The following is a 19,629-nucleotide window of genomic DNA, read 5'->3' on the forward strand; positions in this document are numbered from 1 at the left end:
TTCCCACCTGGGGCACGCCAGGACTCCAGGAACTGGGTCCTGCCAGGAGCAGCTGTGCCGCACGCATGCCACACACGTTGATCTGGGCCACGTTTTCCAGACTCCCGCCCCGGTGTTTATTTTATAGTTGAGCCAGCTCACCCTTGAATTCCACAGGCGAACACCATCCATGAATCAGGAGTGTGTAGAGGTCATTCCTGGGAACTAGGGTACAACCCCAGCTTTAAAAGGCTTTTAGAAAGTTTCTTGGAAACTTTCACATTCATTATTTAAAAGGTTCTCCTGGTCCTGGAAGCAAGCCAAAGGGTGGTTTTTAAACACTTTAAAAACCAAAAAGTGCCTCAAATGAAGATATGTGTGCTTTCTTTTTTCCAGTATTTGGAAATTATTCCAGATGATGCCTTTTTTTTTTTTTTTTTTTGAAACAAGGTCTCAGTCTGTTACCCAGGCTGGAGGGCAGTGGCATGATCTTGGCTCACTGCAGCCTCAACCTCCTGGGCTCAAGCAATCCTCACACCTCAGCCTCCCAAGTAGCTGGGATGATGGGTGTTCACCATCATGCCCAGCTAATTTTTAATTTTTTTGTAGAGATGGGGTCTTGATCTATTGCTCAGGCTGCTCTTGAACTCCCACGTTCAAGTGATCCTCCCACCTCAGCCTCCCAAATAGCTGGGACTATAGGTGTGCACCACCATGTCCACCAAATTTTTTATTTTTTATAGAGACGGGGTCTTGCTATGTTGCCCAGGCTGGTCTCAAACTCCTAAGCTCAAGCAATCTGCTCACCTTAGTCTCCGAGAGTTCTGGGATTACAGGTGTGAACCACCACGCCTGGCTGGTGATGCCTTTGAACTGGGTAGGTTTCAGTATTTGGTAAGGGAAGTGAACAATTTTGTAGTTAGACCCACACTGGCTTTCACAGGAGTGATCAGCACAAGTGTTGATGAGTGTGGCTTGACAGGGGGTGTCCAACCCATCTGTGTCAGGTGATTGCTTTCTTGTACCCTGAGGCGAACGAGACTGTCCCAGGGCAACAGTCTGGTGCTGAGGACAGAAGCCCTCATCCCAGTCCCTCCAGGCCTCTCTGCCTTGGGAAGGTAGGCAGAAGAGACAGCTTGACACTCTTGTGTTCAGCTCCAGGGCTGTTGAGTGGCAAGGGGGCACCTGGCTCTCCTGATACCGCATTTACCTGTTGATTGTATTCCAAGCTAGCCCATAAGCACCGTGCACTAGAGACCCCACTCAATCTTGCTAACTGCTCACTCCCTAGTCCCCAGCACAGGCTTGGCCCTGCCAATACTTGCTGAGTGATCCATTAGCGAGCAGGTGGGTGGCCTGGGTCGACTCTGAGAGCCCTCCCCAACCCCCTGCCCCAGGCCTGGAGAGGCCACCGATGCGTGGGGAGGGCAGGCAGGAAAAGAGCCTTCCATAGCCCACGTCTACTTGGAGAGAAAAGGATGGGCACAAGCAATGGCCAAGGTGCTCTGCCAAGGAGACGGGGTCAGCAGGCACTGCTCATTCCCAGCCAAGAGCCACTGGACGTGCCGGGCAATGGAGGGTAGGGAGGGCACTTCAACCTCCTTAGAGCCTTCCAGCCACAGTCCAAGGCCACACAGGAGAGAAGCCTTTGAGACAGAAGTACCAACCCTCACTGCTCCCAGCACAACGCCAATTCCTGGCTCATCACCAGGCGTTATTTCCTCTCTGGTCAGTCCAAGCCACAAGGATGGTATCGAGTCACTGTCAATGGATTTTTTTTTTTTTTTTTTTTTTTTGAGACAGAGTCTTGCTCTGTAGCCCTGGCTAGAATGCAGTGGCACCATCTTGTCTCACTGCAGCCTCTGTGTCCTGAGTTCAAGCAATTCTCCTGCCTCAGCCTCCTGAGTAGTTGGGACTACAGGCATGCACCAACATGCCTGGCTAATTTTTTGTATTTTTAGCAGAGACGGGGTTTCACCGTGTTGCCCAGGCTGGTTTTGAACTCGTGAACTCAGGCAATCTGCCCGCCTCGGCCTCCTTGGGATTACAGGCATGAGCCACAGTGCCTGGCCTGTCACTGCATCTTCGTATCAAGGAGGCTGCAGGGAATGAAGCAGACTACAGTGAAATAGAGGGGCCACACCCTGTTACAAGAGGGCAGCTCTGACTTAGGTCCAAGTCATAGGAGGATGGGGACCAAGGGTTGTCAGACCTTCAGATTTCTTTTCTTTTCTCTTTTTCTTTTCTTTTGACACAGGGTCTCACTTCGTTGCCCAGGCTGGAGTGGAGTGGTGTGATCATGGCTTGCTGCAGCCTTGAACTCCTGGGCTCAATTATTATTATTATTATTATTTTTTTTTTGGTAGAAAAGGGGGTCTCGCTATGTGGCCCAGGTTAGTCTCAACCTCCTAGCCTCGAAATCCTGGCCTCAGGTGATCCTCCTACCTTGGCTTCCTAAGGTGCTAGGATTACAGGCATAAGCCACTGCGCCTGGCCCTGATTTCTATGAAAAGCTGGAAAAATATATTTTTATGTAAAATCTCCAGATTTTAAAATTTGACTTGCATTTAAAACAAATGATGTGGGCCGAACCAACACATATGAATATAAATGTGGCCCTTGGTTTGCCAGTTTGAAACTCCCAGGCAAGCTGCAGGCCTCCTGCTCCCTGGGATGCCCTGTCCACTGAGAAGGATGAGCAGAGACAGACGAGAGCAGGGGTTTTCTTCTCTCTGTCAATTCCCAGAACAGGGAATTCCAATGGGGAGCCTGGGCTATATAGCTTCATGGGGCAGGCATTCAGGGCCAGTTGTACCAAGGCCCAGGTGGGGTCAGGGCAGGTAGGCACCAGAGGGACCAGAGTCCCAGCAAGGTCTGATGAAGGGCAACCTCAGGTGGGGACTGGTTTCTAGAGGAAGCAGCGGGTCAGGGAGCAGAAGTGGGGGTTGGACCTGGTTTTTCCCGGTTCTCCTCCCCTTATGTCTAGAAAGGTGATAAAATTAGCCAGGCATGGCGGTTCATGCCTGTTATCCCAGCACTTTGGGAGGCAGAGGCAGGTGGATCACCTGAGGTCAGGAGTTTGAGACCAGCCTGGGAAACATGACAAAACCTCATCTCTACTAAAAATACAAAAATTAGCCAGGCATGGTGGCAGGCACCTGTAATCTCAGCTACTTGGGAGGCTGAGGCAGGAGAATTGCTTGAACCCAGGAAATGGAGGCTGCAGTGAGCCGAGATCTCGCCACTGCACTCCAGCCTGGGTGACAGAGCAAGACTCCACCTCAAAATAAATAAATAAATAAATAAGAAAGAAAGAAAGAAAGAAAGAAAAGTGACAAAATCTGTGAGGGGTAAGGAATCACAGTAGAGTCTCAGGCCATGCACCAAGGGCGTTACCTCCAGGGTCTCGCTTCCCAGTGTAGAGGTTGTGGGTTGAGCTATGCCAGTCCTCACAAAGAACTCTATGCTGAAGTTCTAACCCCCAGTGTCTCAGAATGTGACCTTCTTTGGAAACAGGGTCATTGCAGATGTAGTTAAGATGAGATCATTACGGTGGGCCTTATAAAAGGGGTGATTTGGACACAGACACACACGTGTGAAGATGGAAGGAGAGATGGGAGCAATGCCTCTCCAAGCCAAGGATGGTCAAGAGCAGCTGGCAGCCCCCAGCAGCTCAGGGGAGGGCTGGAAGGACTGCCCCTCAATGTCCTCAGAAGGAACCAACCCTGCCAACACCTTGCTCTCAGACTTCTGGCCTCCAGAGCTGCGAGACAATACATTTCTGTTGTTCAACCACCCACTTTGTGACAGTTTGTTACAGCAGCCTAGAAAACCTGTAACAAGGCCTGAATCAGCTAATCAGTTTCATCTGGGATCAAGACCGCCACCAAAGGAGAGGGAATCCAACCAGAAGAGGGGACAACCGAGGGAGGCATCCGAGGAGCCGTGGAGCCAGGAGTCTGCCCCTCATCCTATGCTGAGGACGCGGCAGAAACCAGGCTCTTTCAGTCAGCACAGCCTTGCCACCCAGCCCGCAGGGGCAGGCCACACAGATGGCCCCGGGGGGACAGGCATTCAAATAGGACAGGCATTCAAATAGGTCCGTTCCTAGCCCACTGCTGCCCATCTGCAGCCAGGGGCGGCCTTGTTCCCCTTCTTTAGGGCCTGAGAGGTCACTTCGCAGTTTTCGCTACATGGAAACGCTGCGCGTGGAGCAGTGAAGCAAACGCCGCCCTCTTTAGTGCAAACCTTGTTCTATTCTGCACTTCCCCCACCCCCCACGTGGCAGCTGGAACAGCCCTGCCATCTCCACCACAAGCACCTTCACCGAGGCGCACATGTGGCGGCGTCTCACTGGGGCGGACACAACTCTCCCTGAGAGACTGGCAGGAGGCATTCCACACACGGGGGAAACTGAGGCACAGGCGGCCCGAATGACTTATTCAAGATCTCTCAAGTGATTGCTGGACGGGCGGGGGGAGCACACAGCAGCCCACTCCGAGGGCTGTTCCCGGGAAGGTTCCTCACAGTAGCCTCCTTTCTCCCCTCGTGGAGGACTCTCTGGGAGGTCCCCAAGCCCCCAGCTTCCTCCAGGGTCCCAGACCCTGTCCTCCCTAGAGAGGGTTTGCTTGGACGGCGCACGGGGGAGAGAACAGAGAAGAACAACAGAAAGTCTGCGCTCTGCACCACAAACAAACAAGTCCACCATAGAGGCCGCGTGAAAGGAGGCAGTGTGCGGCGGGCGGGGGCTGGGGGCGGGGGCGCCGGCATAAAGGCATGTTGTTCGGGAAAGCTGGGGCTGGGCACCGCGGGACGGACAGATGGCCTTTTATCCCATAGCCTGGATTTTGCCTGAAAACCCTTTTTCTGAAAGGGAATGGTTGCCTCGGGCCTTGGGTCCAGCTGCCCCCACCCCATGGAGGCCCAGGGGGAAGGTGGGGGGTCCAGGTGTCGCAGCGCCCCTGGGTGGCACATGGCCCCTGGCAGCTAGGAAGGGGCAGGCCCCAGAGGGAGATGATGGTGCCAAGGCTGTTCCAAGCCGTTATCTGTATCTGCAGCAAGAGCCTTTCTTGGGGAGGAGCCTTTTGCATTAACAAGCCCACCTCTGCGGCCCCCAGGGAGCAGTCCCCTTCGAGCTGGTTGTTTTTGGTAAAAGCTTTCGGCTGAAATGAAGGCAGCGGATCCGCTTGCTTCCATCTTTAATAAGCTGCCCTCTGCCTTTCTAGATCCAATCCAGGAGTCAGGACCGGCCAGGAGCTGAGCTCTGGATGCCTGTGGTGGCCTAAGAAACCATATCTGGCAAGTGAGAAGCCTCAGAACCCCCGAAGCCCACCCACCCCTCGCCCTCCCCGCAGTCATTGCAAGGCGATGGGCCCTGCAGGCCACCGTCCTGGTATTCACGGGAGCAAGAGGAAAGGAGGAAAGAAAACCAGCAGGAAACCTGTGCCTGAGCTGTGACCAACTCTCCAGCTCAGGTGTGTGGAGAACAAAAAGACAGTCTTGGGCCCTGGGGCGTTGACTCTATTCACCACGGACCCAGCATTGCTTCTGCTCGTGAAGTGAACTCCCTCTGATGCCATTGCCAGCAACCTCGACACCGGAAGCCTAAGCCAGCACAGGTGGGCAGGCAACCCAGGACGTAGGAAAAGGGGCCAGTGGTTTGAAAAAATGAAATTACCACTCGCTAGGATACCCCCTGTGGGTTTTCAAGCCACTAACTCCATTCTTTACCAAATGTTGCCACTGACTGTTGGCAGCCACCGGGATCCTTAGCCCTCCAGCCTCTAACCTCGGATTAGGGCAAAGTTTCCAAGAATGCACTGAGTCAGGGAGACACGTGGGTTTTTCCAGTGAATGCTGGACTTGGGGATCTGGAGAGGCCCCCAGGGAAAGTCTCCGTGCTGGGAGCACAGCTGGAAGGGACGCGGCCAGAGCTTGTCAGGGTAAACAAGAGGGGCTTTTGGAGGCTTCCCTTCTGGGTCTTTCCTTACAAAATCCTGCCTCTTGCTGCACGGGTAAAATGGGAGGATCTGAGTTTCAACTCCAATGAGCAGCATCAACAGCTCACAGGACATGAGTTCCTTAAAACATGTCCTTTTGCAGACTTGCTGAGACCACTTCTGGACCGTAGTCTCTCAAGACTGAGACCTCAAGCCACCTCAAGTAGGTTTACAGGATGTGCATTCCACAAGGAAAATACACGTACGACACCTAAAATATATTATCTCCTCACTGACCCAACTAGTATAATAAAACAAATTTCAGATCTATTGCACAACACTCCAATCTAAGAATTATCCTGTATTTTGCTATTTTTAAAAGGAGAATCAAGACTATTGATTTACAAACAACCTCATATGCCATTATTCCAGAAACAATATTTTGAAATGCGTCTTTTATTATCTAATAATTTAAGAAAGAAAAATATTGTTCTTGCCACTGTTTACAAAATGGCAAATGATTATACTACGAAAAACAATAATAGTCACTGAACTGTTTTATTTAAAAAACCCAAACAACAAGAGCAGCAACAACAACAACACCCTCCCTCATACCTCCTACTTCTTTTTGCTGATTCAAGCAATTCCCTCTCCCCATGCCTGGCCATGCAATCTCCTCCCTGTGCAGTTAAGGATGTTTATGCTTAGAAAGATTGGCTGACTTGTCTCAGGTGGCATGGTGTGTTCTAGAAGACAAGTCCATTGGATTCAGGCCTATGTCCTCTTTTTTTTCACTGTGTGTGTGTGTGTGTGTGTGTGTGTGTTTAAGAGACAGGGTCTCGCTCTGTCAGCAGGCTGGAGTGCAGTGGTGCAATCATGGCTCACTGCAACCTCAGCCTCGAGTTCCTGGGCTCAAGCAATCCTTCTACCTCAGCCTCCTGAGTAGTTAGGACTATAGGCACATGCCACAATGGCCGGCTAATCTGTTTATTTTTTTTTAGAGATGAGGTCATGCTATCTTGCCCAGGCTGGTCTCAAACTCCTGGCCTCAGGGGATCCTTCTACCTCAGCCTCCCAAACTTCTGGGATTACAGGCATGAGCTACTGTGCCTGGTCCCACTGTACATTTCTTTTTGTTTGTTTTTTGAGACAGAGTCTCGCTCTGTCACCCAGGCCAGAGTGTAGTGGCTCAATCTCGGCTCACTGCAACCTCTGCCTCCCGGGTTCAAGCGATCCTCCTGCCTCAGCCTCCCGAGTAGCTGGGATTATAGGCATGCACCACCATGCCTGACTAATTTTTTGTATTTTTAGTAGAGATGGGATTTCACTATGTTGCCCAGGCTGGTCTTGAACTCCTGACCTCAGGCGACCCACCCGCCTTGGCCTCCCAAAGTGCTGGGTTTATAACTTTGAGCCACTGCGCCTGGCCCCATCACACATTTCTTCAATTAGCAAAGTCTACGCAGTGAGTCCTAGAATTCATGACAACTGGTGACGCCTGGTGGGTATAGCCTCCATTCTATGTGTTACACTCGTCACCATAATGATGCTTCAGCCCCAGGAAGTGACTTCCTTAAATGACCACAGGGTAAATTGTCTTTCTGGGAGGTCAGTGCCTGCCTGACATGGCCACAGGTAAGGGACAGCACTGAATACACATTCTGGTGTGATCAAGCAGAGAGGGCAAGAAAGAGCCATTTGCAAATGACACACGGACAGCAGCTTCGTAGACAGCACCATCAGATTGGGTGCCATTATCCCAGAGAGAAATGCCTATGGTGCTGGGCTGGGACACAGCTCTAGACCAGTGCCACCCGGCAGGATTTTGTCCAGTGATGGAAATGTTCTATATGTGTGCTGTCTAATATGGCTGGTGGTTCCCACCTTGGACAGCTCAGCTCTGGACTCACATATTCAATCAGTATTCAAAATCTCTACTGATGTTTCCCTGGCATCTCAAACCTGGCCCCGGTGAGCTTTGATAGTCCTATCCCAAACATGGACACCCACCCCAGTATTAATCATTTCCATAAATCAAATCGCCCAGTTGCTCAAGCCAAAACCTTGGTGTCATCCTCAACTTCTTCCTTTCCCTCGCTGCTGACATCCAATGCATCAGCAAGTTCTAATGGTTCCATGTCCACGACAATTTCAAATTCTCTCCATCCTCACAGTCACCAATCCAGGCCACCCCCATCTGCCACCTGGACAATAGCAATGGCCTCTTAACTCTCTTGCTGCTTCCACTCTTGACTCCCCCCAAGCCCAATCTGCCCTCCACATGGCAGCCAGAGCTAACTGATCAAATGTAGAGAAAATCTGTCAGTCTTCTGCTTAAAATCCTCCAGTGGCCGCCCTTGGTTCTCAGCATAAAATCTAAATCCCTGGCCATGACCCATGAGCCCCACCAAGTAGGGCTCTTGCCCACCTCCTTCCACTTCAGCCCCCACCAGACTCCATCCCTCCCCATGCTCCAGCAATGCCAGAGTCTCCTCTCGGTCCTGTCATGCCTCAGGGCCTTTGCACCTGCTGTTCCCTCTGCCTGGAATGTTTCTGACCCAGGGTATTGGTCCATACAGAATGTTTCTATTCTATTGCATCACTTGCTGCCACCTGTAATTATCATGTCTGTCTCACTCCTCTGAGGTAATCCCCATGAGTGTCTCAGCCAGGTGTCTTTTTGTCCCCAGCACCAAGCAGGGTGCCTGGCACAGAGGAAATATTAGCATATTTGCGGCTGAATGGAGGAAGGGATGGTGGGGAGCAGGAGGCAGCCCCGTGAGCCCCCAAGACAAACTGGGGCCTTGGCCAGCCTCACCTTTGGGGACTGTCCTTCCCTGACCAGGGTAAGTGTCCTGGGTATAGTGCTGCACCTGTCCAGGTGAAGATGGAGTGAAGGCGGGAGGCCATCGCAGATCTCCCTGGCCAGGCCTGGAGGGATGACTCAGAGAGACCAGAATGTCACATTCTCCGGCTCCTCCAGGGGTGCACAGTCCTGCCCAGGAGGGTCCAAGCACACAGCAGCTCAGGTTCTGAAAACACCCGTCCCTCACCACCTAGCAGAGACCCACCCCTGGTTAGCAGAAGCTGGAGCTGAAGGGACTCCTTGCCCTCCTGTGTGGGTGTGATCCCTGCGTCCTGTTCCACAGCTCTCATATTATCTCACTGTAGCCACACAGAATCCTGCAGGGGAGGCAGGGCGTGAGGAACACACTGCTCAGAGAGGTTGATTAACTTGCCCAAAGTCACACCGCCAGTTAGATACAGAGCCAGAACTAGAGCACAGTCTTAGGCTCCAGATCCTAGACTCCCTCCTCTGTCTCAGAGGGCAAGAGCATGGGCTGCCCGGTCAGTGTCCACAGCTCAACTGCTCCGCACCAAACGCTACGCACCACGACAAGAGCTTGAGGATGTGGCTTCTTTAATAACCCCACGAACAGCAGGGCGAGGTGGCTCATGCCTCCCAGCACTTTGGGAGTCCGAGGCGGATGGATCATGAGGTCAGGAGTTTAAGACCAGCCTGGCCAACATAGTGAACCCCGTCTCTACTAAAAATAGCTGGGTGTGGTGGCACGCACCTGTAATAATTCCAGCTACTTGGGAGGCTGAGGTGGGAGAATCGCTTGAACCCAGGAGTTGGAGGTTGCAGTGAGCTAAGATTGCACCTCTGTACTCCAGCCTGGGTGACAGAGCGAGACTCCAGCTCAAAATAAATAAATAACCCCATAAGCACTGCCTGCCAAGCCACACCCAGCACCTCCAATTTCCCCATCTCCATTTTTCTTCTGTCCTTATCCTTCTAGGACAATGGGTTACAACAAACTTCATGGTGCTCCGGAGTCACAAAGGGTATTTACAAAAAATACAGATTTCTGAGGTCTTGACTCCAGAGATTTACATTTTGTAGGTTTGGAGGGTGGCCTTATAATCTTTTAAAAATATAATCTACGCACATTAATTCTTTAGTTACACACGGATTTTTTTCACTCAAGTGAAGCATCAAACTTTTCACATGAGTCTTCGACATTGAACTCTCTGTCTTGGAGTCATTTTTCTTCAATAGACCATAGTTCTCCAATGAGCATTCATATTCACTTTCATCTAGGTTGTTTGAGTGGCAGAAGTTGTTTAATAATAACTGTATTGGGGCCAGGCACAGTGGCTCACGCCTGTAATTGCAGCACTTTGGGAGGCCAAGGTGAGTGGATCACTTGAGGTCGGGAGTTCAAGACCAGACTGGCCAATATGGCAAAACCCTGTCTCTACTAAAAATACAAAAATTAGCCAGGTGTGGTGGCACGTGCCTGTAGTCCCAGCTATGTGGGAGGCTGAGGCAGGAGAACTACTTGAGCCTGGGAGGTGGAGGTTGCAGTGAGCCAAGATTGGGCCACTGCACTCCAGCCTAGGTGACAGAGCAAGACTCCATCTCAAGAACAAAAAACAAAAAACAAAAAACAAAAAAAATTTACTGGGAGGAATAGTGTTCCTCCTCCAATTCCCCCTGCCAACTCATGTCCGCCCAGAGCTTGTGAATGTGACTTTATTTGGAAACAGGATTTTTATTTATTTATTTATTTTTGAGACAGGGTCTGGCTCTGTCACACAGGCTGGAATGCATTGACGTGATCTCAGCTCACTGAGACCTCTGACTCCTGGGCTCAAGTGATCCTCCCACCTTAGCCTCCTGAGTAGCTGAGACTACAGGTGCACGCCACCACATCCGGGTAATTTTTGTATTTTTTATAGAGACAGGGTCTCCCTATGTTGCCCAGGTTGGTCTCAAACTTCTGGGCTCAAGTGACCCTCCTGCCTCGGCCTCCCAAAGTGCTGGGATTACATGCCTGAGCCACCACCCCTGGTCAGAAATAGGATCTTTGATGTAATCAATGTAAGATGAGGTCATGCTAGATTAGGGTGGGTTCTAACTTCAGTATGACTAGCATCCTCCTAAGAGGGGACTGAGGAGACATTGACATAGAGCCACCCGTATGGGAAGAACACCCATAAAGATGGAGGCAGAGATGGAAGCGATACAACTACAAGCCAAGAAACACCAAAGGACAGCAGCCCCCCTAGAAGCCCGGAGAGGGGCTTGAAGTGGATTCTTCCTCGCAGCCTCTAGAGGGAACCAACCCTGTTGAAATCTTGATGTCCGCTGTCCAGCCTCTAGAAGTGTGAGAGAATACATTTGTGTTTTTTTTTTTGGCAGGGCTGGGGGGTGTTGGTGGGTGGGGATGGAGTCTTGCTCTGTCACCCAGGCTGGAATGCAGTGATGCCATCTCGGCTCACTGCAACCTCCACCTCACAGATTTAAGTGATTCTCCCACTTCAGCCTCCAGAGTAGCTGGGACTACACGCATGTGCTACCACACCCAGCTAATTTTTGTATTTTTAGTAGAGACGGGGTTTCGCCATGTTGGTCAGACTGGTCTCAAACTCCCGACCTCAGGTGATCCACCCGCCTCGGCCTCCCAAAGTGCATTTCTGTTGTTTTAAGCCATCCTGTGTACGGTGCTTTGTGATGGCCAACATAATATCACTGGAAATGTGATCCTTTGCTGCATATAACCATTCATGTGCTGTTATTTTATTTTTCTACTCATTCTTTAAGAACACGTCTGTGAATGATTTCCACAGGGTAACTACTTAGTATTTTGTCCAACATTTTGTTAGGAAAATTTCAAACATACAGCAAACTGGGAGAATCTCACCAGGAGCACCTGCATCCCCTCTAACCTGGATTTCACCATTCACATTCTACTTTTTCTTTCCAAAGCAGTCTTTATAAGGCTTGTGTATACCAGCACTAACTCTTGCAAATGTGAGGTCACCTGCTTAGGAGTGACTATAAAGCTGGTGTTAAATTTATTTGGCTCTCTTTTCCCCCTACTAAGCGTAATTTTCATATAGTTAAAAAAAAATCAACCGTAAGGGTATAGTCTGACAACGATATGCCTCCTTACAGCCAATGCCCAAATCAAGATACAGACCAGTTCCATCTCCCCAGAAAGTCCCAGGAATCTATTTTAATATGCTCCTCATGCAATTCTGATGAAAGGAACGAGGAGGAGATGCGGAATACATGTCCAGTTCCCTCGGCCAGAGGGAGAGTAAAGTTTGAGATTCAAGTGGCTTTCCAGTAGAGGTGCCATGTTCCCCCTAGCAATCATGGCTGCCCCTCTGCCGTCCTAGCCTTGGTCATCCACGCACACGTGGAATCTGGCCTGCAGGCCTCCCCTCTAACCACAGGCTGTGAACACAAAGCAGGAAGAATAAGCAGGACCCACCTGAATGCTGAGTTCCAGGACAAGCTGCAGCTACCTGCTCCTTCCACACCCCTCCCCATGCCCGCATCCCCTGGCTGAAATCACTACTATTCCATCACTGCTTGGACGGACAACCACTGTGGGCCACACACATGCTGCTGGGGGCTGCCGCTTGCAAGGGTTTCTCCAAAGTGGCTTCTTATCTGCTCCAGCCACATGACCTCAGGGCCCAGGGCAAGCCCGGCAGCCCTAGCCTTTGAAAGTCAAACTTGACTGTGTTCGCCAAGGCTGGTGACAGGCTCCAGAATCACTCCCACCTCCTGTTCCTTTTCTTTCTCTAGCGGAGCAGAGTCTTGGCTGCAAGGGAATGCAAGGAGGAAAAACGCAAATGGCTAAAACCTAATAAAACAGTAGTGATTTCATTGGTATAGAATATAGTCCAAAAACAGACCTAAATAACTATATATGTAAATGACTGATATGTGAAAAGAGTAGGTTTTTTAAAAAAAATCAGTGGAAAAAGATAGATCATTCAATAAATCTACTGGGAAAACTGGTTAGTAATTTGGAAAAATATAAACCTAAAATAATACCTATTTTTTTCCTTACACCCCATCCCTCCAAAAAAAATTCCAGGGAAGCAAAATATTTAAGCAAAAACAAACACAAGAAAAACACTAAGCATACAATTATTAGTAGGAAACTGAAATATTTTGTTTTTATGTATAAAATCTTAAAGTAGGGGCAGAACCTTCTAAGAATAAAACCGGTGTCTTTTACTACAAGGAAATTTAAAGGTTTTGCGTTGAAAAAAAAAACATTAAGCAAGGCAAAAGGCAAATGAAAAGTGGAAGAAAAATAGTAACACAGATGCCAAAAAACAGGCTAATACCCTTTACCTCTAAGGAGAGATTATAAATCAGTAAGAAAAAGACAACTATCAATAGAAAGATGGATAAAGGACATGAAAAGGCAGTTTACTAAAAACGTGCAAAAAGTTCAGAAACATGGAAAGACTCAGAACCTCCCTTATCCTTCATATAAATAAGAATTTAAACAGGGAGCAATTTTTTCATCCATTGACAATGATTGAAAAGACTGCTAACACACAGAATTGGTGAAAGTGTGGAGAAACAGGCATTCTCACACGTTTTTGGAGGGAGTTAAAATTGGTACAACTGTTTTGGGGGCAATTTGGCACTATCTATTAAAATATAAGATGTGTATTATTTGGATCCAGAAATTCCAAATCCAGGACTCTGTATTATGGTTGATTTGCATATATATGCAAAGGGATTGTGTAAGAATGCTTCTTGTGACACTGACGTAATAGATAAAAGCATCAATAGGAACAGCTGTTAAAAAGAATGGAGTAAAATTATATTGCTGATATGGAAAGAGGTACAAAATATGTCATTGGGTGAAAAAGACAGCAAGTTGTCAAGCAGTCTGCCTCATATGATTCCTTTATGTGAGAAATAAAAAGATAATACTATATGTGTGGCTGGGCGTCGTGGCACATGCCTGTAATCCTGGCACTTTGGGAGGCTGAGGTGGGTGGATTGTTTCAGCCCAGGAGTTTGAGACCAGCCTGGGCAACATGGCAAAACCCTGTCTCTACAAAAAAAATACAAAGACTAGCTGGGAGTGGTGGCTTGTGCCTGTAGTCCCAGCTATTTGGGAGGCTAAGGTGGGAGGATCACCTGAGCCGGGGAGGTCAAGGCTGCAGTGAGCTGAGATAGCACCACTATACTCCAGTCTGGGTGATAGAGTGAGAGCCTGTCTTTAAATATATATATACGCATGTATATGGGTAGAATCTCTGTGAGATTACACAAAAAATGATGGTATTTATAGAGGGACTAGAGTGAGAGGGAAACAATTCTTTTTTTTTTTTTTTTTTTTTGAGACGGAGTCTCGGACTGTCGCCCGGGCTGGAGTGCAATGGTGTGATCTTGGCTCATTGCAACCTCCGCCTCCTGGGTTCAAGCAATTCTCCTGCCTCAGCCTCCTGAGTAGCTGGGATTATAGGCGCACACCACCACACCCGGCTAATTTTTTGTATTTTTAGTAGAGTCAGGGTTTCACTATGTTGGCCAGACTGGTCTCGAACTCCTGACCTCGTGATCCGCCTGCCTCGGCCTCCTAAAATGCTGGGATTACAGTCATGAGCCACCGTGCCCGGCTGGAAACAATTCTTTTTTGCACGTTCGTCTTAACTATTTAAATTTTTATGAACTATATTAATATGTAATTATTATGATAGAAAAAATCTACTCTAATTTTATTCAACTATCCTATCCATTCCCTGAACAAACAGAATACTGCAGAATGTGATAAAACTTTGACATCAATCCTAACGAAATGCCATTAGAGAGTATTAATTAATGTCGATTAGAATGAGAGTTTCTAGGCCAGGACGGTGGCTCACACCTGTAATCCCAGCACTTTGGGAGGCTGAGGTGTGCAGATCACTTGAGGCCAGGAGCTCGAGACTAGCCTGGGCCACAGAGCAAGAACCCCATCTCTACAAAATATTAAAAAATAATTTAAAAAAATGCAAGTGTCTAGGACACAGTGGATTTGAAACAGTCCAGGAAAAATCTCCTTCCCAGCCCTTTCAGCAGGTACCGCTTCCTGTATCTAGAACATTCCAGGGGAATCCTCCTGAAGGCCTTGGGATCTTGGCTGCATGCAAGGCTCAAAGCCAGGTAGCTGCCTACAAACTATGCTCTCATCATGGCTGCCTGGCTCTGCACTAAAGTTCATGAGTCACCTTGGTCCCCTGCCTTATCAGGTCACGTCCCACTCTGTTGCACCTGGCAGGTTCTCCCTTAACACGGGTCTAGACTCATGACATCTAGTCTGGGACATTCTTTATACTCTTATCCTGAAGGAGAAGATACTTAGGTGGGACCAGCAATTAGAACTCCAGGATTCATTTATTTCTATAAGGGAACTTCGATGTCAGTCTTCAATGTCTTTAAATGTGCACCAACATACTACACACGTTTCATTCATGACACATCTATCTTCCTCCATTTTCCCAAGTCAGACCAGCCACTGCCGTAGAGAAGGTCTGATGTGGAAGGCCCTAGGTCTTACTGCTGAGATGGGCTTTTCCTGGCTATGAGGTAGCAACATGCCATCGGCTGATTGGCTGGGATCAGCTCCAACCCACTCAGGGTGCAAGGTGAACTCACCTTTGTGGGTGAGATCAAGAGTGGTGGAGGAAGTAAGAGTTTCCCACTCCTTTTTCCATTCTTCCCACTAAAGACCCTTCTTAAACCTGTTTGTTGAGCACACCTGTGTCACCCACATGTACTTCCTTGTTTTCTAAACAAGAGAAACCTAGATAGAAGGAGCATTTAAAATTCCCTTACTTTCCCCGGGAAGGTCACCTCTGCTAGCAAGACACTCCAGAGGTAACAGCAATCCTGGATCAGGCTGCTTAGGGAGTCACAGCCATGCTGGCTGGAAGGCGAGGTGCTGGCCTGAGGCTCTGTCTGCCTATGGGATACTGTCTGGCAGTGCAGCCAGGGCCTCGCCTGCCCTATTTCACCTGGACAGGACTTGCATCTTGGACAGGAGAAGCAGCAGCCACCTCCTAGGGGTCCCCTCTTCCTCTCCTGGTGTCTGCTGGAGCACTGATGGACATGGCACATTGCAACCCCATGGCAAGTTTTTTTAGGAAGGAGGTGAGGATCTACAAAGTTACCTTGTCCTGGACAGCCCCTCCTTAGGCATGCAAGGACAAAGGGACAAGAACCTTAGCTTAGCAGCTGCCTTTCCTGACCTAGCAACTCCTCTTCCATGTGTGATGGTACAGATGAAATCCCTCTACAGGGATCATCGTTATCCAAGTGTTCTTTATCTGAGTTCCTGAAGAAAGTTGCAAATGACAGGAGAATTGCTTGTCCACTCCCCTGGACACCCACTACGCTGCCGCTGCAGCTGAGCCACACACCAGTGACCTCCGGGCAAGTCAGACCAGCCTCCAGGACACCAGGCCCCCGAGGGAGCATGCTGGGAGCCACAAATCATTATTATTTCAGGTTTCCCATGTATTTGGGGTGTTTTGCAGGCCCTAATGCTCATAAAGGAAGTATTCTCTAGACTGGCTAAACTAAAATTGTCTAAATTAAAGACTTTGGGATACAACTGCAGCAACCAGGCATTTCCTAAGCGCCTGTGATGGCAGGTAAAGCTTTTCAAGCCAACACATCATCCCAGCTTACACTCTGACCCACACTCCCTCACCCCATGAAAGGGCAGCTGCCAGGAAGCTGGAGTGATCCGCTGATTGATCAGTAACTGAGCGTGCAGGGAGTCAATGACACGTCAGAGGAAGGCATGCCTGCTCCCCCCAGGAAATCCCCATCACATGAGTATACTCATTGCCTCACGTCATCCTAGAAGACAAGTTTATGAAGTCTAGAAAGCAAACAGCTTCCGCCTAAGGATCCTTCTCCTTCTGTCTTCAGAGGCCTGACTTCAGCCCAGTCAGAAGGATCAGAGGTGACCTTGGATGGTACCTCATCCCTCCTAGATCTGAAAGAAATGTATTTGGTACCCCTCGGCTTAATCTCATGTCTAAGATTTGTCCCTAATGAGTATGCATTGAAAATACTGGGCACTTGGAGACCCATATTGCAGGATCTCTCTGAAATACAGGTTCCTACATCTACTCCACCCACTTTAAGAGTTCAAGTAGAAATCTATGGGGCGGGGTGGGAGGAGGGAGAGCATCAGGAAAGACAGAGAATGGATGCTGGGCTTAACATCTAGGTGATGGGATGACCTGGGCAGCAAACCACCATGGCACACGTTTACCTGTGTAACAAACCTGCACATCCTGCACGTGTACCCCTAAAGTTAAAATAAAAGTTGGAAGGGAAAAAAAGTCTATGGAAAAATACTTTGAAAAATGTAGATAGGGTCGGGCGCGGTGGTTCATGCCTGTAATCCCAGCACTTTGGGAAGCCAAGGCGAGCAGATCACCCTGAGGTCAGGAGTTCGAGACCAGCCTGGCCAACATGGTAAAACCCTGTCTCTACTAAAAATACAAAAATTAGCCGGGCATGGCGGCATACACCTGTAATCCCAGCTACTCGGGAGGCTGAGACTGGAGAATCGCTTGGATCAGGGAGGCAGAGGTTGTAGTGACCTGAGATCACGCCACTGCACTCCAGCCTAGGCAACAGAGCAAGACTCTGTCTCAAAAAAAAAGAAAGAAAGAAAGAAAGAAAGAAAGAAAAACGTAGATCACTATATACACTTAAGGTGTGTTACTATTAGCTCTACAGGGATCATCGTTATCCAACTGTTCTTTATCTGCGTTCCTGAAGATTCAAGTTGCAAAAGACAGCAAAAATCATGTAGATATTTATGAGTCAGTTGTTTAATAAATTTGGCCCTTGCTCAAATACTGACCACCTCCTACCCCAACTTTGCCCTGCCCATCTAGGCAAAGTGTTCTCTCTTTGATGGTTAGAGGGTGCTATCATCCAACAATATGCAATGTATCAAAATGCAAAGTAAGATAAACATCCATGCAGAAAAAAAATAGAAAACTTCATGAAGTCACTGAAAGCAGTGGAGAACTGTTTGACTCACAACTCCATTGCCAAATAAGGAGGCCAGTATTGAAAAAGGGGCAATGAATGAAGGAAGAAGCCTTTCAAAAGAGATAGACCTGTTAAAGGATGAAGAGAGACCCTTAGCCCTTAAATACACTTGTTAATAAGATGACTCATTTAGGAGTAAGCTGTGAATGTTCAAATTGGAGTTTATGGCATGTCACATTGTGCTTCCACACAATTTTTTTTTTGAGACAGGGTCTCACTGTCACCCAGGCTGGAGTGCAGTGGCGTGATCTCGGCTCACTGCAACCTCCACCTCCCAGGTTCAAGTGATTCTCCTGCCTCAGCCGCCTGAGTAGGTGGGACTGCAGGTGCCCACCATCAAGTCTGGCTAATTTTTTTGGATTTTTAGTAGAGACGGGGTTTCACCGTATTAGCCAGGGTGGTCTCGATTTCCTGACCTCGTGATCCACCCGCCTCGGCCTCCCAAAGTGTTGGGATTACAGGCGTGAGCCACCGTGCCCGGCCCATACAATTTTTTTGGAAAAACCACACATGTGCACAAAACCAACACGACTTGACTCATTATTTGCTCAACTAAAAATCAGTGCAACACTGCGAACTTTAAGTCCTTTTCAGTTTCTTTTTTAAAGATAATCAATTTCCCTCTCCCAACCCCTTGTCCTATGTCTATGAAATATTGGTCTTCATTTAGAATAGAGTAACTTTTTTTCAAGATGGAGTCTCACTCTGTCACCTAGGCTGGAGTGCAGTGGCACGATCTTGGCTCACTGCAACCTCCGCCTCCCTGGTTCAAGAATTTTCCTGCTTCAGCCTCCCGATTAACTGGGACTACAGGTGCATGCCATCACACCCAGCTAATTTTTGTATTTTTAGTAGAGATGGGGTTTCACCATATTGGTCAGGCTGGTCTTGAACTCCTGACCTTGTGATCCACCCACCTCAGCATCCCAAAGTTCTGGGATTACAGGCATGAGCCACTGCACCCGGCCTAGAGTAGAAAAACTTAAAAAAGTGGCCTTTTATTAGGATTCAAGGACTCTTCTACTTGGGTCTAAGGAACAACTGAATTTTTTATGGCACCTTGTCTCCAACCAGCAGAAGTCATTATGGTTGTTTCCAGAAGACCTTGCCTGGCACAAGAGAAAGCAACCATGAAACCAAGCTGATCTGTCCTTTTCCCTGTTTGGGGGCAACACAGGATCATGGAAGCTGGATTTATTCAGTCCAGCGAGGTGCTCCTTATTCCTCCACAACAGGGTCCCAAAGTGTAGGCCTTGATCAAACTGACTTTAAAATTTGAGGTCTTTCTTTGATCTTTGTGAGTAAACGATGCCATTTCATAGATTTCTGTTATTACCTAAGACTAGGGGCTATGTACAAGTACCTAAGTGGGTTATTATAAGTTATTAACGTTTGGAATTTTTTTTTGTTTTTTTTGAGACAGAGTCTCATTCTGTTACCCAGGCTGGAGTGCAGTGGCGTGATTTCCATTCACTGCAACCTCAGCCTCCCAGGTTCAAGCAATTCTCGTATCTCAGCCTTCCGAGTAACTGGGATTACAGGCACGCACCACCACACCCGGCTAGTTTTTGTATTTTTAGTAGAGACGAGGTCTCACCATGTTGGCCAGGCTGTTCTTGAACTCCTGGCCTCAAGCGATCCGCCTTCCTCAGCTTCCCAAAGTGCCGGGATTACAGGCGTGCGCCACCGTGCCCGGCCTGGAATTTATAAACTAAAACCAGCCATTTCTAGAGATCCCTAAAAACTCTAATTCCATTTCTCATTAGGTAATCTGAACATCATTCAATGCTAAGCAACACTGGAAAGGTCCTACTGGGC

The 19,629-nt window shown here is 48.5% G+C and overlaps 1 protein-coding gene across 3 annotated transcripts in view, besides 4 other annotated features; it reads right to left on the minus strand.

Annotated features, from left to right (window-relative positions):
• Positions 1-19,629, minus strand: part of FA2H (fatty acid 2-hydroxylase) — a 61,852-nt gene that overhangs the window by 31,080 nt on the left and 11,143 nt on the right. The window contains exon 1 of one of the 3 annotated variants that reach the window (XM_011523319.3): positions 142-186. The exons of the other annotated variants lie outside the window; for them this stretch is intronic. Coding sequence (XP_011521621.1) covers positions 142-171 — 30 coding nt within the window. The 5' untranslated portion in view covers positions 172-186. Of the gene's footprint in view, positions 1-141; positions 187-19,629 lie in introns of those variants that run through there. 3 annotated transcript variants of the gene reach the window in all.
• Positions 3,727-4,392: an enhancer, noted in NCBI's record as "H3K4me1 hESC enhancer chr16:74781673-74782338 (GRCh37/hg19 assembly coordinates)". NCBI's record gives its function as "activates a minimal SCP1, AML or CMV promoter by ChIP-STARR-seq in naive H9 embryonic stem cells {active_cell/tissue: H9 hESC(naive)}" and the evidence as "EXISTENCE:reporter gene assay evidence [ECO:0000049][PMID:30033119]".
• Positions 4,393-5,056: an enhancer, noted in NCBI's record as "H3K4me1 hESC enhancer chr16:74782339-74783002 (GRCh37/hg19 assembly coordinates)". NCBI's record gives its function as "activates a minimal SCP1, AML or CMV promoter by ChIP-STARR-seq in naive H9 embryonic stem cells {active_cell/tissue: H9 hESC(naive)}" and the evidence as "EXISTENCE:reporter gene assay evidence [ECO:0000049][PMID:30033119]".
• Positions 8,791-9,290: an enhancer, noted in NCBI's record as "H3K4me1 hESC enhancer chr16:74786737-74787236 (GRCh37/hg19 assembly coordinates)". NCBI's record gives its function as "activates a minimal SCP1, AML or CMV promoter by ChIP-STARR-seq in primed H9 embryonic stem cells {active_cell/tissue: H9 hESC(primed)}" and the evidence as "EXISTENCE:reporter gene assay evidence [ECO:0000049][PMID:30033119]".
• Positions 15,955-17,154: an enhancer, noted in NCBI's record as "BRD4-independent group 4 enhancer chr16:74793901-74795100 (GRCh37/hg19 assembly coordinates)". NCBI's record gives its function as "activates an origin of replication core promoter dependent on BRD2, P300/CBP, MED14 and CDK7 cofactors, and independent of BRD4, by STARR-seq in HCT116 cells {active_cell/tissue: HCT116}" and the evidence as "EXISTENCE:reporter gene assay evidence [ECO:0000049][PMID:35650434]".

This window comes from Homo sapiens, chromosome 16 (genome assembly GCF_000001405.40).
Source record: "Homo sapiens chromosome 16, GRCh38.p14 Primary Assembly".
NCBI classification, from domain to species: domain Eukaryota; kingdom Metazoa; phylum Chordata; class Mammalia; order Primates; family Hominidae; genus Homo; species Homo sapiens.